Consider the following 24417-nt stretch of genomic DNA (forward strand, 5'->3'; position numbering starts at 1 on the left):
GATCTACAGTGGTGGTTTGTGTCTTAGGAGACCCTCCCTTCAGGCAGGTTCTAATAAGCCCCACCGGGACACCTTGGCCCCTCCGTTGACTCCCCAGTCTGCTCTGTGCCTCCCTCACCAGCTCCCCAAAGCATCTCCATACCTTGGAGGGTCACTTGGAACCAGCTAACTTTTCAGGGTCCTTTCTTCCCAGTTCTGCTGCAACACAAGTAACCCAGATTACATCAGGGAGAGGCTGAGCTACAGAGGTTCCTGCCAGGAGCTTATTCATTGTCACACTGGTTCTGCTTCCTGACAGGTTCACTTGAACCATCTGAAGCATGGGGAACAAGGGCAGTGCTGGGATTCATGAAATCCAAGCATTCCGGGACTATAATGAAAGATGTTGTCTCAGAGGTGTGCTCTGTGGCTGTCGGTGTTTGTTAATTGTGCATCCTGCTGGGGTTAAGAACAGAAATAGAAAAAACCAATTGTCCTGTCTCTCCTTCCCCAAGGAGATGAGCATGCAGGAGGTTTCATGGCCCAGCTCCTCCAGTGATCACTCAGCTGTCAACCAGGCTGAGCACATCAGAGAATAACACCTCCTTTTCTGAGGATTCTGATACATTTTCAATCAGAAACAGAAGCAAAGATTCTGCAGCTCCCACAGAAACTCCCAGAAACCTTCAGGTGCTTCACTCTTCTGAGATCCTTGAGTCCAAATGTGGGAGCTAACCAGGCTGCCTCTTTTTACTTTACCATGAATTCCTCCTAGACATGTTGTAGCTCCTGGTCTTGGTTAACTTTCACATCCACTACAAACATTGGTAAGGAAATTCACTCCTCTCTAATTATGTGCTGATTATCTTTCTGCAATGGGGATAGTTTGAGGGAAAGTTCATGCTAACTTCTTTGAACATATTATCACAAATAATGTATGTATGTAGAGAATTAAGCTAATTTTTTATATGATGGAGAAGTAACTGCATGAAAGCAACAAAACTATAAACATCAATGCCAGATTTAAATAAATAAAGAATACATCATCCATAAAATTAACATGTTGACTTCCACTGCCATAATCAAGACTACAAAATCAGCTTTAGAGGATCATGGTTTTAAGGGACTATTGTGAACCTTGAAGAGGCAATGCTTGTCAGGTTCATACAATCTTCAGGCTACTCAAGAAATTGTTAAAGACTGATAATAATTGATCTCAGCCATTAAGTGTTCACTGCATACCAGAAATGTGTTCAATGTATAACACAGATCATCTCAATTAATCTTCACAACCACCTCATAAAATAGGTACTATCACTTTTCTCCTTTTTAAAAAAGAGGAAACGAGTTTGGAGAGGCTAAGATATGTGCTCAAGGTCATATAACTAATAAATGTGCATCTGACCACTAAGCCCATGGCTCTTTAATTGCTACTTTTTTTGTTTCTTTCAGTGTTTACTCTGCCTGAGAACCTGATCCGCAGAAGAATGTGGAGAGTTCATTAATGTTTTGCTTTCTCATATTTAATCAAATTGATATCTAGTTAGTCAATAAATAATTATTGAATACCTACCATATTCCAGGCACAATATATAGTCAAATGTATTTCACCTTTTTAGTCACTTACTAGATCAATAAATCAAATGAATGAATGAATGCCTAAATATCATTTTTTGGTTTTTTTTGTTGTTGTTTGTTTTTTTACCATCTTTGGACTGAATCTGGAATTTCTGGCTTGCTTAAATCTTGCCTACTATAATCGGTATACTTGAAAGACACTACTATTTCTCCACCCACCCCCACCCCATAGTTTCTTTCATTCTATGTGATACAAAGAAAATCTCATTTAAATGCAAATGGATTAAATTCATCAAAGGATTGGAAAAAGTGAAAGAAGATACTAAAAATAAAATTAAATATAACCCAGTTGCAAACATAACGTTCAGGCATTGTGTATGTTTTAAATGATATATATGTACAAGTTAGCCATTTAAAAATTTGGCAAATTATTTTATGACTAATAAATTATCCAACATCTCCATGATTTCTAAGTAAATATGTAAGACTGAAATCATTTCTTTGCAGATGACCAAACCTGTCTATTTCAAAAAGTAAAACTTAAGATCTGATGAGCCAACAAACTCCTAATGAGTCACATCATATTCTTTAAATAAAAGCTATTTTTAAATCCTCAGGTCAAATAAAGTATTAGATGCTTTACTCCCGAGTAATAAGAATATTTGAGGCCAGGTGCAGTGGCTCATGTCTGTATTCTCAGCACTTTGGGAGGCTGAGGCAGAAGGACTGCTTGAGGCCAGTAGTTTGAGACCAGCCTGGACAACACAGTGAGACCCTATCTCTAAAAAAAAGTTTTTAAAAAAAGGTAGCCAGACATGGTAGAGCACACGTGTAATCCCAGCTACTGGGGAGGCTAGGTGGGAGGATCACCTGAGCCTAGGGAGGTTGAGGTTGCAACGAACTATGATTGCGCCACTGCACTCCAGCCTAAGTGACAGAACGAGATCCTGCCTCAAAAAGAGAAAGAAAAAAAAAAAGACAAAGGAGTGTTATGAGTGTATTAGTTTTAACAAATATTCTTTTTTTCCTTTTCTTTTTGTTGAGACAGGGTCTCACTCTATTGCCCAGGCTGAAGTGCAATGGTTCTATCATAGCTCACCACAACCTCAAACTGCTGGGCTCAAGCAACCCTCCTGCCTCAGCCTCCCAAGCGGGTAGAACTACAGGCATGTGCCACCACGCCCAGCTACTTTTTTTGTTTCTGTTTTACTTGTTTTTTTGAGACAGGGTTTCACTATGTTGCCCAGGCTGGTATTAAACTACTGGTGTCAAGCAATCCTCCTGCCTCAGCCTCCCAAAGTGCTGGGATTACAGGCATGAGCCACCGCATCCAGCCTCAAATATTTCTGATTCTTGGAAATAAATCATCTAATACTTTACTTGACCTGAGGATTTAAAAATAGCTTTCATTTTAAGAATGTTGTGTGACTCATTAGAAAGGAGTTTGTCAGCTCATCAGATCTTAAGTTTTACCTTTTGAAGTAGACAGGTTTCGTCATGTGTAAAGAAATGATTTCAGTCTTACATATTTACTTAGAAGCCATGGAAACGTTGGTTAATTTATTAGTCATCAAATAATTTGCCAAATTTTTAAATGGCTAACTTGTACATATATATCACTTAAAGCAAGCTTGTCCAAATTGCAGGTGGCCCAGGACAGCTTTGAATGTGGCCCAACACAAATATGTAAATTTTCTTAAAATATTATGTGATTTTTTTTTTAAGTTCGTTAGCCATCGTTAGTGTTAGTGGATTTTATGTGTGGCTCAAGACAATTCTTCTTCTTTCAACATGGTCCAGGGAAGCCAAAAGATTGGACACCCCTGAAAGTATACACAATGCCTGAATGTTACATTTGCAACTGGGTTATATTTAATTTTTTTTTTTAGTCTCTCCTTTCACTTTTGCCAACCCTTTGGTAAATTTAATCCATTGAGTTAAGTAAGATGTTCTTTGTATCATGTAGAATGAAAGAAACTATGGGGGAGAAAAAGAAAATAAAAGTGTCTTTCAAGTATTCAGATTATAGTAGACATTCCAGATTCAGTCAAAGGATGGTTAAAAAAACTATGCATTCATTCATTTATTCATTTGTATTTATTCATTAATTTGTCCACACAGTAAGTATTTACTGTCAGGATTACAAAAGTGAGAGCACCTTTTCCTTGTTCACAAGGAGTGTGTTAACAACCCAGTCCTGTAAAAGAAATCAGGGTTTCAACCCATGTGGCAACTGTCCTTAAAGAATCTGAGTGTCTTCACCAAGCTCTCCTTTCTTCTTGACTCTCCATCTAGCTTTCAAAGAAATTCATACTTGTGCATAGTGGATTTTTTTTCTTTGTATAATCATTTGGGGAGTTACAAAAGGAAATAATGAAGGACTAAATAAAGAAATTAAGTTTTTTATAAGATGTAGACTGGGTACACGGTTCATGCCTACAATCCCAGCACTTTGGGAGGCCGAGGTGGGAGGAGCACTTGAACCCAAAAGTTTGAAACCAGCCTGGGTGACATAATAATACATTGTCTGTACAAAAAATATTTATTTAAAAAAATTAGCTAGGTATGGTGGCATGCACCTGTAATCCCAGCTACTTGGGAGGCTGAGGGGGAGGATCGCTTGAATCTGATATGTCAAAACTACAGTGAGCCGTAATCACACCACCGCATTCCAGGGCAGGTTTCACAGGGAAACCGTCTCAAAAAAATAAATAAATAAATAAAGATGTTTATAAGGTGTAAATTCAAATGCATTTCACAACCAAATATTTCATATGCTTTGCGTGTTTTCCAATTAAATGTAGAAGGTTGGCCTAGGAGAGTATTTTTTTAATAGAATCCTGAAAAAAAAATATAACCCTTGGCCATGTGTTATGAAGTTACAATATTCACTAGAATTTATTTGTGTCTTGCTGATAATAATCAACAATTTATTGATAATGCTTATAAGTATACAATCATTTGTTACCACTGGAAAAGGATCCAGTGGGAACGTTCTTTAGGGCTCCAATTAGATTAGTTTTTTAACTTTTTCTTTTCTAACTTTTAAGTTCAGGGGTACAAATGCAGGTTTGTTACATAGGTAAACAAACTTGTGTCTTGAGGGTTTTTTGTACAAATTATCTCATCACCCAGATATTAAGCCTAGTACCCATTAGTTATTTTTTGTGATCCTCTTCCTCCTCCCACCCTTTACCCTGTGATAGGCCCCAGTACTGTGTTGTTCCCCTCTATGTGTCCATGTGTTCTCATCATTTAGCTCCTGCTTATATGTGAGAACATTCGGTATTTGGTTTTCTGTTCCTGCATTAGTTTGCTAAGGATAATGGTCTCCAGCTCCATCCATGTCCATCAAAGGACAAGATCTCATTCTTTTTTTATGGCTGCATAGTATTCCATGGTGTATATGTACCACATTTTCTTTATCCAGTCTATCGTTGGTGGACATTTAGGGTGGTTCCATGTCTTTGCTCCAATGACAGCTGGACCAGGGTCTTATCAAAAGCAGCATATTTCCTTAATCTGGAGAAGTTCTCCTTAATCCAGAGAAGCTTTTTCTTCAGAGATAAGCAGGTTCAACGGCTCAGCCGCAGGTTATTTTTGCCTAGCAAAGGCACTAACAAAAACATGTGCACTGGCAAAATACTGGATTTCTACATGGTATATTGAGGAAAATGTTATCTAGGACTTAAGGACAAAAACCCAAATATTATTTGGCACATCACCAATTCACAAATACCAATTACCTGACAATTTATTGCTATAATAATCTGCAAAATAATGAAGTCACTAAATTAGCTCTTTGCAAAAAAAGTTTTAATTAGCCACCTGTAAAGTGTTTAGCAATTCTTATGTTGCTGAAGCACAATTAATTTTTTATGAATGGTCATTTCTGGTGTTTTTGAAAGATACTTCATTTAAATTTTTTCTCCATAGTTTCTTTCATTCTACATGTAAAAAGAACATCTTACTTAAACACAAATGGATTAAATTTACCAAAGGGTTGGCAAAAGTGAAAGGAGAGACTAGAAAAGAAATGATATATAACGCAGTGGCAAACATAACATTCAGGCATTGTGAATGTTTTAAATGATACGTATGTACAAACTCGCCCAGAAAAATCTAATTTCTACAAATTGTGTGAGTTGTTATTCAAAACCAGTTTTTGGTAAATCAGTAACTGTGCATCAATCAGTAGATTAACTGCCAAATCACCAATTATCGGTTCCTATTTATGACCCATTGTAAAATAAAGATTGCAATTAGAACCCATTTGTAGCACATCCATTAGTTCCTTCTCAGGAACCCAAACAATCACAATGTCATTAAAATTGTTTTTTGTCTTTCTACTTCTTCTGTTATTATATAAACTGCTCCAGAGTGCAAAGGTTGATTTCAGATGTTGAAAGCAAAATAGTTGATATTTCTACTGAGAAACTGGGATTACATCATCTTTTTTTCTAGGACTACTCTAATTCCCATATTTGGAGTTCTTCCATTACTGATTATTTCTACACTTCAGGAATTCTCTTAGTAATTTTTATATGTGCAGCTTCAAGACAATCCTTATTAGATGGTCATTTTACTTCCACTTTTGGTACGACATTCTTTCTTCCCATGATGTGTCAATGGCTCTATGTATCCTATCACTGGTGACACAATCCCTTCTATAACACTGGATACTTACAATCAGTAATTAACTTAATGTGTAGCTCAATCACTAATGTTAAAAGTTTATCTTTTAAAAATGACTAAATTCATAAAATAATGTCTAGGTGTTTTTTGACAATCTGGTCCTAAGTGATCTTTTTCTTTTTCACAGGGAAATGGGGGAAAATCAGACAATGGTCACAGAGTTCCTCCTACTGGGATTTCTCCTGGGCCCAAGGATTCAGATGCTCCTCTTTGGGCTCTTCTCCCTGTTCTATATCTTCACCCTGCTGGGGAACGGGGCCATCCTGGGGCTCATCTCACTGGACTCCAGACTCCACACCCCCATGTACTTCTTCCTCTCACACCTGGCTGTCGTCGACATCGCCTACACCCGCAACACGGTGCCCCAGATGCTGGCGAACCTCCTGCATCCAGCCAAGCCCATCTCCTTTGCTGGCTGCATGACGCAGACCTTTCTCTGTTTGAGTTTTGGACACAGCGAATGTCTCCTGCTGGTGCTGATGTCCTACGATCGTTACGTGGCCATCTGCCACCCTCTCCGATACTCCGTCATCATGACCTGGAGAGTCTGCATCACCCTGGCCGTCACTTCCTGGACGTGTGGCTCCCTCCTGGCTCTGGCCCATGTGGTTCTCATCCTAAGACTGCCCTTCTCTGGGCCTCATGAAATCAACCACTTCTTCTGTGAAATCCTGTCTGTCCTCAGGCTGGCCTGTGCTGACACCTGGCTCAACCAGGTGGTCATCTTTGCAGCCTGCGTGTTCTTCCTGGTGGGGCCACCCAGCCTGGTGCTTGTCTCCTACTCGCACATCCTGGCGGCCATCCTGAGGATCCAGTCTGGGGAGGGCCGCAGAAAGGCCTTCTCCACCTGCTCCTCCCACCTCTGCGTGGTGGGACTCTTCTTTGGCAGTGCCATCATCATGTACATGGCCCCCAAGTCCCGCCATCCTGAGGAGCAGCAAAAGGTCTTTTTTCTATTTTACAGTTTTTTCAACCCAACACTTAACCCCCTGATTTACAGCCTGAGGAACGGAGAGGTCAAGGGTGCCCTGAGGAGAGCACTGGGCAAGGAAAGTCATTCCTAACTGGTGTGACATTTGACTCTCCCTCCTCAGTCATCTCCTGGAATCTTGGTACCAAATACCACCTAAGTTCACTACTCTCTTTATATCTGAGACTGAATGAACCAAGAGACTCTGCAAAGCATTCCTTTTTCCTGCCTGGGAAGTATTTAGTTTTTGATGCATTTGTTATACTTAACATTTTTTAATTTAAGCACTTATTGAGTTGAGAATGTCGGGGAAAGATTTATTTTGTACACTGCTATGAGTCCAGAAGTTTAAAACAGACACTCCACCTGTGACTTAGTCAGGTATGCTCAGTAGTAGAGGAATAGCAGTTATTACCAGATAAAGTCATATCTATAAAAAGTTTTTAAAAATACAGCCACAGGCAGAGACTCCAGAACCCATTGATACCTCTGTCCATTTTCATCCTCATTTGGATGTTTCCCCTCAATTGTACTTCCTTTCTTATAAGCAGTAAATGTACCTAAGTGCCTACTTCAGCTTGGAGGGAAATTGATTTTTATAAAATCCTACAAACTGACAATTTCTGTTGTCAGAGAGAGTGAATCCATAAACATTCAGCTGGCAATCTGAAGCAATTACACAACAAAATCCACTTTCCAACCTGCCCTGAGACTGTGATGGTCACTTGTTTCTACTCTTCTCACCTCCTCCAGGGGACTGTCTATGATTGTCTCTAAATAAGCACATGCTCTTCACTTAGAGGAAGTTAGTACCACCACACAACTTTTCACTGCTGGGGACGAATGGAAAGCCCCACACAGAGACAATTCAATGGAAAAAAGCGTTTTAATAATAATGTTAATAGTTAGCATTATTATAAATTACTCTGCACCATCCACTGCACATTGATAGGTACTTTATAGAGATAACCTCAGTTTATCATTATAGCCAATTCATTTCCCATTATTATCCCATTTTATAGATGTGAACTTCAAGCAGATGGTAAATGTTAGACTCATACCCAAACAATCTGGCTCCCAAGCCTTCTTTACTTAACCAGGACAATGTGGGACTTTATTAGCAACATTTCAAATTAAGAATAAGTCTAACCAATCCTAACGTAGGATATGTTAAGTGAATGTGGGTTTCTTCCCCATCTAGAATGTGCCATGATGAGGCCAGGAGAGTCAGAGATTATTTATGGAAGGCTTCTTATCCTGTTTGACGAGTCCTGTGGGCATGGCTGCAAAGGAGGTTAAGAGATTCAGAGGAACACAGAACACAGACAGGGTGGGAGTAGAGGCTGTTCTCAATGAGATTAGAGAGTAAGTTTAGAACTATACTTGGTTCTGGGTGGTAAGATCCAGAACAAAGACATCTCTAGTTCACATACAACACTCACATGCTCACGTACATGCGTGTGCACACACACACACACACACACACATATACGCACAGTGCTTAGTGAAGCACTATTCCAAGAACCTTACAAGTAAGAGCTCTTTAAGTCCTCATAAAAACCCTATGAGGTAGAGACTATTACTACTATTTTTAGGCGAGAAAACAGAACTATAGAGAGATTATATAATTTAACCAATGCTCCCAGCTAATAAGTACCTAGTCCAGAATCAAACTTAGGCAATATGACTGCTGAACCCATAATCGTAACCATTATATAAAAATCAAAGAGATCATGAAATTTCCAAAGATGAAGAGGAGGAGAGATGAAAAGCAATTTTCAATCTCTAGCCAAAGATAGGCATTGGGCTCCAGACAGAAAAGTACTTAAAGCTGGGGGAAAAACAAACAAACAAACAAACAAACAAACAAAAAACAGCTTTTTTTATACTGGTGCGTGAAATGAGATGAGGTGGTAGCAAGAAGGAACTGTGACTCCAAGGGTCAGAGACGGAGGAGGAGCCTCTTGACGGGCAGGATGGTGAAACCAAAAACAATGGATAAAACTTTTAAGTTGATGGTTCATCAATTGAAGAACATTAGAAAGTGTTTTTGTAAATTATCTAGCCGGGCATGGCAACGTGTGCCTATATCCCCAGCTATTCGGGAGGCTGAGGCAAGAGGATCACTTGAGCCAGGGATTTTGAGGCTGCAGTGAGCCATGATCGCACCACTGCATTCCAGCCTGGGTGACAGAGTGAGACCTTGTGTCCAACAATAATAAAAATGAAATAATTTATTAAATTTTTTAAAATTACCCAAACTGGATATACAATTTGTAATTCCATTGCTGCCGAACAGTTTTTAAACGGTTGTTTAGTTTCACGGCAGATGCTGCATACTGCATTGCAACTAACACTGGGAAGGGATACATTCAAGTGGCAGGACAAAGGTGAGGAGCTCTAATACCAGGGGTAGGTTTCAAGGGATGAATACTCCCCTGGTACCAGAGGAGCAGCAGGAAATCATGGTGTGCAGAAACCATGCTCAGGCGGTTGCCTGTGTGGACCCTAAATTCTGTGTGTGCAGTCCTCTCTTAGGATTGGCCCAGGCATCCAAGAAGCCCACGATGCTGCCTACCCCTTAAATACACAAGGTGCGTACCGGAGGCCCTGGTTCTAGTTCCAGATGTACCATTTGCTAGCTGTGTTTTTTGCAGAGAAGTCCCTTAAACTGCTTAAGCTTCAGTCCTTCATCTGAAAATTATGCATATGGAAGCTGTTTAGGACACCACAGAGTGCCACTGAAAACCCAAAGCAAGATGCAAATGGACACATTTTTTTTCTGAAGACTTAAAAGTGCTATGTGAACATAAGATAAACTGTTATGATTACCCTGCTGTCAGAAGTTATTTTAATCCTGTCAGGGTTGCTAAACTTTCTGATCTGGAACCAAAATTGCTCTTTAAACAGGAAGAGCATTGGTGCTGGTAGGTCACCTACGCCTTTGCCCTCATGGCTTCCCCTTGTCCCCCCTAGAGGCACAGGAGGCCACTCACTCTTGGAGGGCATAGCTGGACCAGGAGCATGAGCTGTGGCCCAGACTCAGGGAACCTCTGTGAGTCAGCTGGCAAAGGCTCCCGGGGAGCCTGTCTCTGAATCTGGTCCTAGCCCGTTCACTTGGAAAAAACAGGAGACTTCTCCCAAGGTCAAGGAATTCAGATTTTGGTTTTGGTTTCCAACTTTTTGTAATCCTCAACCTGGGATTTACAGTGCATGTCTCAATTATGTTTCATTCATTGCTTCACAAAGGGAAGGACAAGCACTGGTTCATCTCTTTACACCTATACATTCCTAGCACAGAGTGAGTACTCACAAAAAACATACGGAATACATAGAGGACACTTTATCTGTTGACCCCATTTCCAAATTTTCAGTGTTGAGCCATCTTCTGATTTCTAAACTTCTTTAAATCCCTCTAATTTTAGGTTATACTACAGTAGAAATTTAATTGTAGCTGATAATTATTGAGCACTTACTATGTGGTTGGCACTGCATAAAATGCTTTAGAAAAATTCTTACATCAAATATGTGGAGTAGGTACTAATACTATCCTAACATTAAAGGGGGGGAAATAAAGTTTAGTGTAATTAATTAATTTATTCAAGGTCGCCAAATCATTCAGTGGTAGAAACATGAATCAAGACCAGGCAGTCTGACTGTAAATAAATTCTGAGCCACTCTCTTGCAGAGGACCTCCTGATATTCATCTCCTGAATGGTTGGCAACAGGCCTGTTCATAGTAGACACACAATAAACTTTGACTAAATGAACAAATGAGTGGTTGTGTTCAAATTTCTACTCACATCATATAGGCCTAGGGATGTGTTACCCTTTATTCTTTTTATTTATTTATTTATTTATTTATTTATTTACTTATTTATTTATTTGAGAAGGAGTCTTCTTCTGTTGCCCAGTCTGGAGTGCAGTTGTTGGCTCACTGCAACTTCTGTCTCCCAGGTTTAAGTGATTCCCCTGCCTCAGCCTCCTGAGTAGCTGGGACTACAGGCGTGGGCCACCATGCCTGGCTAATTTTGTATTTTTAGTAGAGAGGGGGTTTCCCCATGTTGGCCAGGCTGGTCTCGAACTCCTGACCTCAGGTGATCCACCCGCCTCGGCCTCCCAAAGTGCTGGGAACACAGGCGCGAGCCACCGTGCCTGGCCTATTCTTTTAAGTTTGGATATCTTGTGCATTTGGTTTGTCCAATTCATCCTTTTGGCATATTCTTATGCAGTAGATATTAATAATCGAGAATATCCTATCGCTCTAGGATCACAGAGAAGAAAAGAAACAATTTAGGGTTGAAATTTAGCATTTACTATTAAAAATGCTGGGAATACTTATTTATGTTTTATCGTAGGAGTCCATGGCGATTGCCTTCTCACAGAAGTGTGCCAAATGACTGAAACTGTGATTCCAGAAGGCCAGGATGGTACTGGTGCTACACAGGAAGTCATGTCAGGGTGTTGATCTTGAAAACTCTGGCAAGAGGGTGGAGACAACTGTAGGCAATAACTACTGGGAATGAAAGGGATGGGAATTTGTGTGTTGTAGTCAGTTTCCTTGCCGCCTGAGATTGGCACCTGCAGCATCTTTGGCACGTGGACCAGGGATTGCCAACTGCCGACCTGTAGGACTGGTGTTTACTGTTGGCTGTGAGTGTAGAGTACCATTGTTAAATACAGGTTCTTGAGAATAGACAAAAAGGAAAGACATTTGGAATGCTGTCTCACTGGACTTCACAGCTCTCATGTTTTCGCAGCCAGCAGAGAAGTGTCTTACATCCCTTGCTTTCTTCATAAATTTTAAATAGCATTGGCTCATTTTTATCTGTGTTTTTCCAAGCTGTGTTTCTCTGTTTTTAATTTTTGAAATCATGTTGTGCCAAAAGAAGAAGTGAATCCTTGAACACGGTATGATTTGGTCAACAGAATACTGCCTCAGCATGAGAATGTCTGGGCTGTCACGACAATTCCCTCACTTACACACTGTGTGACCTCAGAAAAGTTGCTTAACTCCTCTGGACTTCCATTTCCACACATATAAAATAAAGAATTGAACTAGAAAAACTTTAAGGTCACCTCTTGTTTTCTAATTCCCTGTCTTTATTAGTTTCTTCACATTTCATATTAATTTGGATTTTCACTTTTGTCAAAGGAGTATAAAATAAATTCCATACAGAGAAAATGAAATGGACTTCTGAGGCTAACTGAATCTCTCTGACCTTAAATACAGTAGAACCCCAAAAATACGTACTGGCCAGGCACGATGGCTCATGCCTGTAATCCTAGCACTTTGGGAGGCCGAGGCAGGAGGATCACTTGAGGCCAGGAGTTTGAGACCAGCCTGGCGAATATGATGAACCTTTTCTCTACTAAAAATACAAAAACCAGCCAGGCATGGTGGCATGCGCCTGTAATTCCAGCTACTTGGGAGGCTGGGGCACAAGAATCGCTTGATCCTGCAAGGCAGAGGTTGCAGTGAGCCAGGATCATGCCACTGCACTCCAGCCTGGGTGACAGAGGGAGACTCTGTTTCAAAAAAGGAAAAAAAATAGTACATACTGAAGTAATTAATTAGTTGACTATTTTAGTGCTCTGGGAAATAGAAATTTCATAAGACTGGCTAAAAGGTAACACGAAATACCCACCTTAAGGAAAGAATATTACTAGGAATAACTTTGATTGGGAATGGTTCTAGGAACTAGACTAAAACATAAATATCTAGTTTTGTACCCATATTACCCACATTGTAGATATACTTTTAAGAGCTAGTATTTGCTGAGAGCTTATGAAATGTCAGGCATTGTGCTAAGGTACATGCATCATTATCATGTCTCAACTTCATAACAATTCTAGTACCTTTATTATTATTATTACAAAAGAAGAGATAGAGGTTCAGAGATAGTAAGAAACTTTTCTATGGTCACACAGCAAGTATCTGACATAACTTGGACTCTAATCCAGGTGAGCCTGACTCCATAACCACTGGGTCATATGGCCTCCCTCTATCCTGGACTTACAGAATCTTTTTCTGTGAACAGTTAAGTAAGGATCAAGAAAATCAGCCTTGAGATCTATTGTACAACTTGGTGATGATAGCTAATAACAATAGATTGTATTGTGAAAAATGTTGACAGAGTAGATTTTAAGTGTTCTCACCATAAAAATGACAAGGGTGTTAGATAATTCATATGGTAATTTGCCCAATTTAGTCATTCCACAATGTACATACATTTCAAAATATCATTTTCTACATGGTAAATCTATACAATTTTGTCAATTAAAAAATAAAACACTTATTTTACTTAATTTTATTTATTTATTTATTTATTTTTGAGATGGAGTTTTGCTCTTGTCGCCCAGGCTGGAGTGCAATGGCACAATCTCAGCTCACTGCAACATCCACCTCCCGATTCAAGGGCTTCTCCTGCCTCAGGCTCCTGAGTAGCTGGAATTACAGGCGGCCACCACCATGCCTGCCTAATTTTTTGCATTTTTAATAGAGACAGGGTTTCACCATGTTGTCCAGGCTGGTGTTGAATGCCTGACCTCAGGTGATCCACCCGCCTCAGCCTCCCAAAGTGCTGGGATTATAGGCATGAGCCACTGCAGCCGGCAGAAAAAAATAAAACGTTTAAAAAGTCCACCATCTTTACCACACACAAAGAAAAGAAAATCAGCTTTAAGAAAATGATTAAAATATAGCTAACGTAGTCCCCAATATATATAACAAGCAAAATAGTAATACACAAACCAGTTTTTTATTGGAAAAAAACACATAGATACAAGTAGAGACAGATAAACTATTTACAGTAGAACAAGTGACAGAGAATAATAAATGTAATGAAAGATGTATAGTTCCTCTAGTAAGTAATAAATTTTAAAGCACAAGATACCATTTTTCACCCATTAGATGGACAAAAATTAAAAGATGGATACTTTCTAGCATCGCTAAGCATGTAGGCAAGTGGATACTTCCCCACAGTCTTAATAGATTTCGGGGAAATTTGGTCATGTCTCTTCAAAAACTAAATTGTTAGTTTTGTTTTGATTTTTCAGAGACAGGGTTTCACTCTGTTGCCCAGGCTGGAGTACAGTGACGCAATCACAGCTCACTGCAGCCTCGGACTCCTGAGCTGAAAACAGCCTCCGACCTCAGCCTCCAGAGTAGCTGGAACTACAGGTGCAAGCCACCATGCCTGGCTAATTTTGTTGTTGTTGGTTGGTAGAGATGGGGTCTATATTGCTTAGGCTGGTATTGAATTCCTGGGCTCAAGTGATCCTCCCTCCTCAGTCTCCCAAAGTGCTGGGATTACAGGCATGAGCCACTGTGCCTGGCCTCAAAAAATAAAATGTGCATACCTTTTGATGCAGCAATTTCAATTCTAAGAACATATCCTACAGAAATATTCCCATATGCATAAATATATACATGTACATATATTTTAAGCAGAAGCAATACTTGTAAATTGATAAATAACCTAATATCAATAGTGAGGTTATTAAATAAAACATTGCAAATATATACAATGAAATATGCAACTCTTAATATAAATAAGTTTTACTAGTATATTAACATCTAATTAGATATTAATGTACAGTTAACATATAAACTAATATTACCATAAGCAAAATTTTCACAAAATGTGAAGTGAGGAAACAAAGTATATTGATACTGTGCTTTCTCATTCACTTAAAAACCTATAGATATGTGTATGTGTGAGAATATATATAGAGACATATACTAAAGCATGGGAAAATGTTTAAAATAATACACATTAAAGACTTAAAGAAGAGACCTCTCAAAATGTAGACTGAACCATGGGAAAGAATATTGCATTATTTGAAAATTTTACAGTAAACCAATGTTCATTCCTTGTTCAGAGGAGGTTTTCCTGACCAGCAGACATCACGCCATCAATTGGTGATTCAGGGACCCAGGGTCCTTACACCTCATGGATCTGCCCTCATTTCCACATGGTTCCCATTATTGTCATGTGTGTTGGAGGGAGACAAAGCATGAAAGTTTCAGTGACCTGGCCCAAAAGTGGACTCTTTATTTCTGCTCACATCCCATTGGCTAAGATTTGGTCACCATGGCAATAAAAAATGCAAGTGATTCTGAGAAATGTGGTCTGTATACCCAGGCATAAGAGGAACAATTCTGATAAACATCTAGCAGCCTGTGCCACAGGGAATCAGAGGTTCTGAGTTTCTAGCTCTCTGCCTCTTCAGGACAATAGTAAAACTCAAAAGAAGTAGAGGGACCAAGAGACTTGGGACTCCTCCACAGATCTCCATCATCAGCACCTCCATAGAATTTTTTTTCAATTTTATCTGAATATTTCAATTTTACCTGAATTTTTTTCAATTTTATCAGACAGTAGATTTTTTTTCAATTTTATCTGAAATACAATCCAAATAGAGCTTCAAGACAAATCCCCTAGCCCCCATTTCAGTACAAACATTCTGAAACTGCTACTGCCCTGATTACCTTCTGAGGGACCCAGACAAAGTCAACCCTGAACCATCAAGTCTCAAGATGTTGGGAAATCCTATAAACCTGGATTCAGGTGCGCCATGATCAGCCTTATCCTTATTTTCCTTCCCTGTCTGTAAAATGGTGATAAGACACCACCCCATTTATTTCAAGGAAATGTGAGCTTCACAAAAGGTAATATACACAGCACTTTGTAAGCTGAAAAGAAGTACTAAAAGTTATTCTTAATCATGAAGCATTGAGATCCATCTATTCTCTTCTCTCACCTTTGTTTTCTCCTTCCTTACTTTCTCTATGTATTATTTACCTGATCCCTTATAAAAGAGGTAAAGGATATACACCTACTATGTACCCACAAATATTAAAAGTGTTTTAAAAAATTTAATGTGGTATCTTAAACTAAAACCCACTACAATTTAGTCCCAGGGAAGGCAGTTCTAGGAAAGAGCCAAACAAGGACATATGAACAAAAGGTAATACTGGGCAATAGGACTGGATTTGAGGTAACCAAATCAGACAGGTGTATGATCCTTTCTTCTCAAAAAGTGGGTTGTGATAGGAGATCAGCCATTCCATGCTTTAAGGGGGTAGAGAGAATAAACAGGCTGAATTTCCAGCTATCCCAAATGTGTTTCCCATGGTGTTTGCATTGAACTGGAAGAGAAGAAAGGAAGTGATGACTAAGGTGGATGAAAGGCCAGGTGCAGTGGCTCATGCCTGCAATCCCAGCACTTCGGGAGGCCAAGGCGGGTGGATCACTTGAGGGCAGGACTTCGAGACCAGCCTTGCCAACATGGTGAAACCCCATCTCTACTAAAAATACAAAAATTAGCCGGGCGTCATGGCGCATGCCTGTAAAACCAGCTACTCGGGAGGCTGAGGCAGAATTATCACTTGAACTCGGGAGGCAGAGGTTGCAGTGAGCCGAGATTGCACCATTGCACTCCAGCCTGGGTGGCAGAGGGAGATTCCGTCTCAAAAATAAATAAATAAATAAAATCAGGTAAATGAAGGGTTAAAATACTAAGTAATGAACTCTTCTGGCATGCAGAAGACATCTAGCACTCCATGCCTGCGTGGCTCAACCCTTCCCCATCAGATACAGCAGAACAAAATGTTAGCGTGTGGGCAATGAAAGTCAGTTAGCAGGCTGTAGCAATGCCACTGATGGAATACTATGACCTCAGAAGCTATCTGCCTTTTTTTGAAGCCAACAACTATCCAGTAGGATTTTAGAGGCACTCAAAGCCTTACAATTATCTCTCCCTCCTGCCTTCACATATTCAGAATGTCTTTAGCAAGACAATCTTGTTTCACAATCACAGACAAACTTCCCACGCCAATGTATATGTTCATATAGATAGGTTGTGACTAGCAGGTAATAAGTGTCCTGTTTTGATAAGACTTCGAGTCCTAGATACCTGAAGAGGGTGTGCAGGAAGGGAGGCTAGGGCTCCCCCAACAATTTCATCTATTTTAAACCTTGTCACTTCTGAAACCTGTAATCCCACCAGATTTTTAGCTGTCATTTAAGTCTCTGAAACCTGCCAGGAGCTTTTCTTAATGCAAAAAACAAACAAAACAAATGTCCACTAAGTTCCACCAATACAGGACTGATTAAGTAAAGACCAGTATCTTCATACAATGGAATACCATAAAATTATCAACCAACAGTAAACAATATGGATGGTCTCTAGATCTTACATTGAAAAATCTCCAAGACCCATTCAGAAAAGCAAGAAAAAAGGAAGGGGGTGGATAAACTCTATCTAGATGTGCTTACATATGCATAAAGTCATTCTAGAGGAATACAGAAGAAACTAGGAAGAGAGAGGTTGAAAACAGGGAAGACGGTGACAAGCAGCGGCATATCTAGGCCTGAAGCTTATACAATTTGGGGCAGCTTCTTTAAGAAACAGAATGTGAATGTATGAATACAAAATTAGTTCAGAGCTTTGGAAGGGACTCTTGGAAGGGGTTCTAAGCTTAAGCTTTGCTAGCTTCATGGTAAATCCACTACTGGGGACAAGTAGGAAAGGGAGAATACAAAAAAAATATTTTTGAAAGCTGATTGAAATCTGAGTCATTTATATCTATTCATAAAACTTAATTTTAAAAAAATCAATGTATTTGCCAAAATAGCTCTGGAGAAAGATAACTGACTAGGTGACCAGGCCTCATGAAAAATTTGAGTTCCTATAACCAAATTCATAAAAGGAACACTGCAAAAATGACAACAGTAACCACTGAAATATAATATTTCACCTATTACATTAGCAAAGTCAAAAAGTTTTAAAGGCTGGGTGTGGTGGCTCATGCCTGTAATATCAGCACTTTGGGAGGCTGAGGTGGGAGGATCACTTGAGCCCAGGAGTTCAAGACTACCTTGGGCAACATAGGGAGACTCTGTCTACAAAAAGTAAAAAATCAGCCATGCATAGTGGTGCATTCCTGTGGGAGGCTGAGGTGGCAGGATTACTTGAGCCTGGGAAGTCGAAGCTGCAGTGAGCTGTAATCACGCCATTGCACTCCAGCCTGGGCAACAGAGTGAGACCCTGTCTCAGAAAAAAAAAAAGTTTTAAAAACATACAGTTAGTGAGGCATGGAGTGTCATACATTGCTGTAATTTGGTATAAATGACCTGCATGGAGAAAAGTTTGCCAAAGTCTCCCACAATTACAAATGCACCATTTGACACAGCAATTCTACTTCCAGGAATATAGCCCACAGGTAGACTAGCATGTGTGCTATGCAACAGATGTAAAGGTTATTCACTGCAGCATTGTTTGTACTGCCAAACTACTGGGAAAAACCTCAGCAGGAGACTACACCCATTCAATAAAATCTTGTACAGCTGAAAAATAAATAAGGAAACTATGTGCTAATATAGAACAATCTTCAACCTATATTTTTAAATGAAAAATGCAAGTTTTGAAATATTTTGTGGACTATCATTGATGTAATATATTTCCTGTAAGTGCAAAATATTTTTGGAAGCATTTCACAAACAACTTGTAATATTGGTGCCTTGAGAGAAGATAATTGGATAGCTGGGAAACATGTGGAGGCAGACATTTACTTCTGTGCTTTTAGCTTTTTTGAAGGATGTCAATGTGTAATTTTTTCAAAATATGTCTTGAAGATAAACATAGATCTTTAAAATTTGCAAAATTCACACCAGCCTTAAATTCTAATCAAGCCTGAGACTGTTCAGAGGGAAGCCTGGTGAAGCCCCAAAGCTTTACATCAATTCCACGTTTGATGCAGATCAAACTAGGGATAAGAAAGGTTGAGAACATTGGGCATTTTTTCCCCTCCACTGGAGGGTATACTACTTACATTAAAAAGACTCATTATTTATTAAATGATTCAATGATTTCGTGATTCTAAATAAAACCTTTTCCAGGGACTTTTTTTTTTTTTTGAGATGGGGTCTCACTCCGTCACCCAGGCTGGAGTGTAGTGGTGCGATTACAGTTCATTACAACCTCGAACTCCTGGGCTCAAGTGATCCTCCTGCCTCAGCCTCTGTTCCAGTTCTTCTGTGGGCTCCCAATCCAATGCTTTAGATTCTCAATAATGAAGGGACCTCCTTTTCCCAAGCCCTTTATCAATGAACTCTATTAAGAAGAGAAGTGTCTGATTCACCAGAGGAGACAGAAAAGAACATTGGTACCCAGTGAGTGTTCCTTTATTTAGAAGGCAAGATCCCTTGGGACATGATTAAAATCCAAACCTGAGGACACACATTCTAAAACAAGTGAGATGGGAAGAATATTGGATCCTAAGTACGGTAATTATTCTAAAAAGAAGAAAGTTGCCAGTGCCAGCCTGGGCAGCATAGAGAGACCCCATCTCTACAAAAAATTAGCTGGGTATAGTGGCACACTATGCTACTCGGGAGACTGATGCAGGAGAATTGCTTGAGCCTGGGACTTCGAGACTGTATTGAGCTATGATCACACCACTGCACTCCAGCCTGGGGGACAGAGTAAGACCCTACCTCGAAAGCAAAACAGAAAGAAAGCTGCAGCTGGTGGAGAATGCTAACTCCACCCTCATACAATTAGAATATATGAGAAGTCTTTTGCTACTAATAGATGGTGCATTCCAGGAGTGATTTAGAGCTATGAAGTCATATCAAGATTTACTTTTTTTTTTAAGATGACTAAAATTTTCAGAGCAAGCTTGTGATCCAATGCATTTATTTCCACAAGATGGTGCTATAGCTTCTGCTAAGTACAAAACTCACATTTCCTTTAGGAACTAGAAATACAAAATATGTTTCTAATGGAGAACCAAATGTGCATACGCTCTGGTGAGTCTGTCAAAGAAACACATTGTGCAAAAACGTCCCGGTGGAGGTGGAGGTTGATTTAGGCCTAAAGGGTGAAGATTGTTCCAGGTAATAATACTTTCCGCCACCTCCACACATACCTGAGTTGATGTCTCAAGGCGTCATGCAGCCTTCAGCCTCCTCTTTGTCCAAAATACTGCTCTTCCTACTATCAGGAGTGGGTGTGTGTGTGTTTGTTTGTGTGTGTGTGTGTGTGTGTGTGTGTGTCAGACATGGGATTGAGGAGTGGCCCAGAGCTCCCACCACCATGGAAATGCAGCTCCCATGGCCACCCACACTTCCACCCAGGGGCAGCTCAAGGCTCGCCCCTTCAATAGAGCCTTTCCTTGCCACTCTGTCCCACATGAATCACACCTGCCTAGGGGTACAAATAATAATGCAACAGAATGTTTTAGAATACCATTTTTCCATTTCCATCTAAGTGTGCCAAGTGTTGGCGGGGGGGGTGTGGTGGGCAGAGTCCATTTTATAGCCCACAGCAATGAGGATCCTACCTTGAAATTATGCACAGTGATGATATCACAAATGCTGGCAATCTCAAGCAAGTATTCAGCCACCTTGGTTGGCAGCCTGGGTGACTGGGAGGATGCTGGCCCCGGTTGGCCACTACTTGGACCTAGAAATATGTTAAGTCATCACCTCTTTGGAGTTGTTTGATCATCTCTACCAGGACAGGATTAAACTGTTCTGATTTTTTTTAATATCTTGTTTTAATGACTTTAACATCTTCAGTATCCCTCTCCTGACAGAGTCATAGAGGTGGGAATATTTGCATCACAAGGGAAATAGAAGGATGTCTCTGCTGAAGTGAATGGCACCTCCCTTCCTATTCATCTTTATTCTTTAAAAAAATTTTTTCTGTCCAGGCGTGATGGCTCATACCTGTAATCCCAGCACTTTGGGAGGCCAAGGTGGGTGGAACATTTGAGATCAGGAGTTTGCGATCAGCCTGGCCAACATGGTGAAACCCCACCTCTACTAAAAACACAAAAATTAGCCGGGAGTGGTGGTGGGCATCTATAGTCCCAGCTACTCGGGAGGCTGCGACAGGAGAATCGCTTGAACCTGGGAGGTGGAGGTTGCAGTGTGCTGAGATCACACCACTGCACTCCAGCCTGGGTGACAGAGCGAGACTCTGTCTCAAAAAGAAAAAAAAAATTTTAAATAGAGATAGGGTCCCACTATGTTTCCCAAGCTGGTCTTGAACTCCCGGGCTCAAGCAGTCCTTCCGCCTCCACCTCCCAAAGTGCTGAGATTACAGGCGTGAGCCACTACACCGGTCTCATCTTTATTCTTGTCTCCATTTTTCTCTATTTTATTCTGTGCCTCTGTGCCTTGGCAGTCAAAAATGTGACATAGCTGTACAGTCAGCCCTCCTTATCCACAGGCTCCACATCGTAGCTTCAACCAACAATGGATCAAAAAATTCAGGAAAAAAAATGGATGGTTGTGTCTGTACTGAAAATGTACAGACTTTTTTTCTTGTTATCGTTCCCTAAACAACACAGTATAACGACTATTTTCATAGGATTTACATTGTACTAGCTATTAATCTAGAGATGTCTTAAAGTGTACAGGAGGATGTGCATAGGTTATAGGCAAAGACTAAGCCATTTTATGTCAGAGACTTGAGCATCTGGGGATTTTGGTATCTGCAGGGGGTGGGAAGGGTCCTTGGAACCAATCCCCTAGGATGACTGGACATGGTGGATCACTCCTGCTCTCTTTTGCTACCATATCCTCTCCACTGCCACAGAGGTAAGGGCAGGGTAAGTGGAAGCCTAGGGCCACAGAGACAACAGGGTACTCTGGGCTCACCATCAAGAGTAGAGAAGGAAACCTGTTGTGCTCCTCTAGGAGTAGAGGATGCCTTTTGGAAGATAAGTGGGATAACATGGATTAGGATGGAAAAGAATACTCATACCTAAGAACAATCACTGACTGGGGACTTTGACAGTGGATGGAACACCTCAAGAAATAGGCATCAAGGACGTGAGACGAGGGATGAGGCCGAAGACTTTCTATCAGCAAAAAGGAAGGACAGAGTTAGGCTGAACTAAAGACATTTCTGTGTTCAAAATAAACAGCATGCTGTTATTGGGTTTGTCTTATATTATTATGTCTATCAGAAGAAGAGTACACAAAGATACAACTTACTTATACATACTTATAACTTACACAACTTACTTATTATGTCTATCAGAATACACAAAGATACAATTTATTCTTTGAATAGCAGCAGATTTTAGTCTAAAACAGAAAAGATACAAAAAAAAGTAATGTGTGTTTTCTAGCTTCTCCCAAATAGAAAAAAAATAAAATATATATGTATAAAATGATAACAAAAATATTTGGCTTTAAGCCCTCATCACAGGAATTCTTGGAACCCTCTCTCTTCCGACAGATGTAAGAGGCAGTATAAACATCTTTGTATGTGTCAGTATGTATTTGTGTGTGTTGGGTTCTCATCTGATACCAAAAAGACTACCATATTACTCATAAATATATAAACAGAGACATATACATTTAATAAATTCAAGATAGATTTTAAAATAGGGCAATAGAAAAATAAGAATAGAAGATATAAAAGTTCACAAAATATACTTCACTATAAAATGCATCTTTGAAAGGTAGGTTACAATTTTGCTATTCAATTCTATTCTCCAATTCAGAAGGGAAATGTGAGCGGTATAAATTTTCCTCAGACTAGCCTTGCTTTCTCAGTTTCTTCTAGAACTTATGCTAATACAACTTGTTGTTCAGATGCAATTTTCATAACCTTCTAATTTGAGAAAATAGAAGCACCATCTTCAAGGATAAAAGTCAGTTGAAATTCAGTTCCCCACTCAAATTTACTTCCCACCAATAATTACCTAATGTCCTACAATTCACTGGGTGTGGGAACTTCTACTCTCTCCCATCTCAGGGTTAGTTTGATGCCTACTTGCAGTTTTCTTTCAGAGGTTAAAGGGTAATGACTGCCTCCCTTGATTGAATAATCTTAACTTGTATGTTCTGGGGACTCATTTGTTTCTTATATAAAACCAAACCCCTGACAGATTACCTTGATATACAGTGAGCAGTGGAATTAGTGAGTCCCCAACTTTTGCAATGTATAGCACCCTCCAAATGCCAAAAAAAATTAGCGATGAAATAGAAAGGAGAACAAAGAAGAGGGTGATCGTATTAGTCCATTTTCACGCTGCTGATAAAGACATACCCAAAACTGAGGAGAAAAAGAGGTTTCATTGGACTTACAGTTGCACATGGCTGGGGAGGCCTCAGAATCACAGTGGGAGGCAAAAGGTACTTCTTATATGGCAGCGGCAAGAGACAATGAGAGAGAAACAAAAGCAGAAACTCCTGATAAACCCATCAGATCTCCTGAGACTTATTCACTATCACAAAAATAGCATGGGAAAGACCGGCCCCCATGATTCAATTACCTCCCCCTGGGTCCCTCCCACAACACCTGGGAATTCTGGGAGATAACAATTCAAGTTGAGATTTGGGTGGGGGCACAGCCAAACCATATCATTCTGCCCCTGGCCCCTCCAAATCTCATGTTCTCACATTTCAAAACCAATCATGCCTTCCAAACAGTCCCCCAAAGTCTTAACTCATCTCAGCATTAACCCAAAAGTCCGTAGTCCAAAGTCTCATCTGAAACAAGGCAAGTCCCTTCTACCCATGATCCTGTAAAATCAAAAGCAAGCTAGTTACTTCCTACATACAATGGGGATACAGGTAATGGGTAAATACAGCCATTCCAAATGGGAGAAAGTGCCCACAACAAAGGCGTTACAAGCCCCATGCAAGTCCAAAATCCAGCGAGGCAGTCCAATTATAACGTTCCAAAATGATCTCCTCTGACTCCATGTCTCACATCCAGGTCACAATGATGCAAGAGGTAGGTTCCCTTAGTCTTGGGCAGCTCTGCCCCTGTGGCTTCACAGGGTATAGTCCCCACTCCTGGCTGCTTTCACGGGCTGGCGTTTAGGGTCTGTGGCTTTTCCAGGTGCACGGTACAAGCTGTCGGTGGATCTACCATTCTGGGGTCTGAAGGACGGTGGCCTTCTTTGCACAGCTCCACTAGGTGGTGCCCCAGTAGGGATTCTGTGTGGGGGCTCCAACCCCACATTTCCCTTCACACTGCCCTAGCAGAGGTTCTCCATGAAGGCTCTGCCCCTGGAGCAAACTTTTGCCTGAGCATCCAGGTGATTCCATACATCTTCTGAAATCTAGATGGAGGTTCCCAAACCTCAATTCTTGACTTCCATGCACCTGCAGGCTCAACACCACATGGAAGCTGCCAAGGTTTGGGGCTTGCACCCTCTG

The 24417-nt window shown here is 40.3% G+C and overlaps 1 protein-coding gene and 1 long non-coding RNA gene across 3 annotated transcripts in view; one reads left to right on the top strand and one right to left on the bottom strand.

Moving 5' to 3' along the window:
- Nucleotides 1–24417, bottom strand: part of OR2A1-AS1 (OR2A1 antisense RNA 1) — a 117146-nt gene that overhangs the window by 73169 nt on the left and 19560 nt on the right. The window lies entirely within an intron of this gene.
- OR2A1 (olfactory receptor family 2 subfamily A member 1) lies at nucleotides 338–10996 on the top strand. Of its 2 annotated transcripts, none has more exons than XM_047420323.1 (2): nucleotides 338–669; nucleotides 6380–10996. In XM_047420323.1, the coding sequence occupies exon 2, from the start codon at nucleotides 6384–6386 to the stop codon at nucleotides 7314–7316; it is 933 nt and encodes a 310-aa protein (XP_047276279.1). In that variant the 5' UTR covers nucleotides 338–669; nucleotides 6380–6383; the 3' UTR covers nucleotides 7317–10996. The 2 variants fall into 2 exon arrangements, with proteins under 2 accessions (XP_047276279.1, NP_001005287.1); NM_001005287.2 differs by lacking the exon at nucleotides 338–669 and adding an exon at nucleotides 678–806.

This window comes from Homo sapiens, chromosome 7, assembly GCF_000001405.40.
Source record: "Homo sapiens chromosome 7, GRCh38.p14 Primary Assembly".
In the NCBI taxonomy this organism is placed as follows: domain Eukaryota; kingdom Metazoa; phylum Chordata; class Mammalia; order Primates; family Hominidae; genus Homo; species Homo sapiens.

What these genes read in the sequence shown, in the direction of transcription:
- OR2A1 (XM_047420323.1), top strand. Translation starts at nt 6,384, where the DNA reads ATGGGGGAAAATCAGACAATGGTCACAGAGTTCCTCCTACTGGGATTT.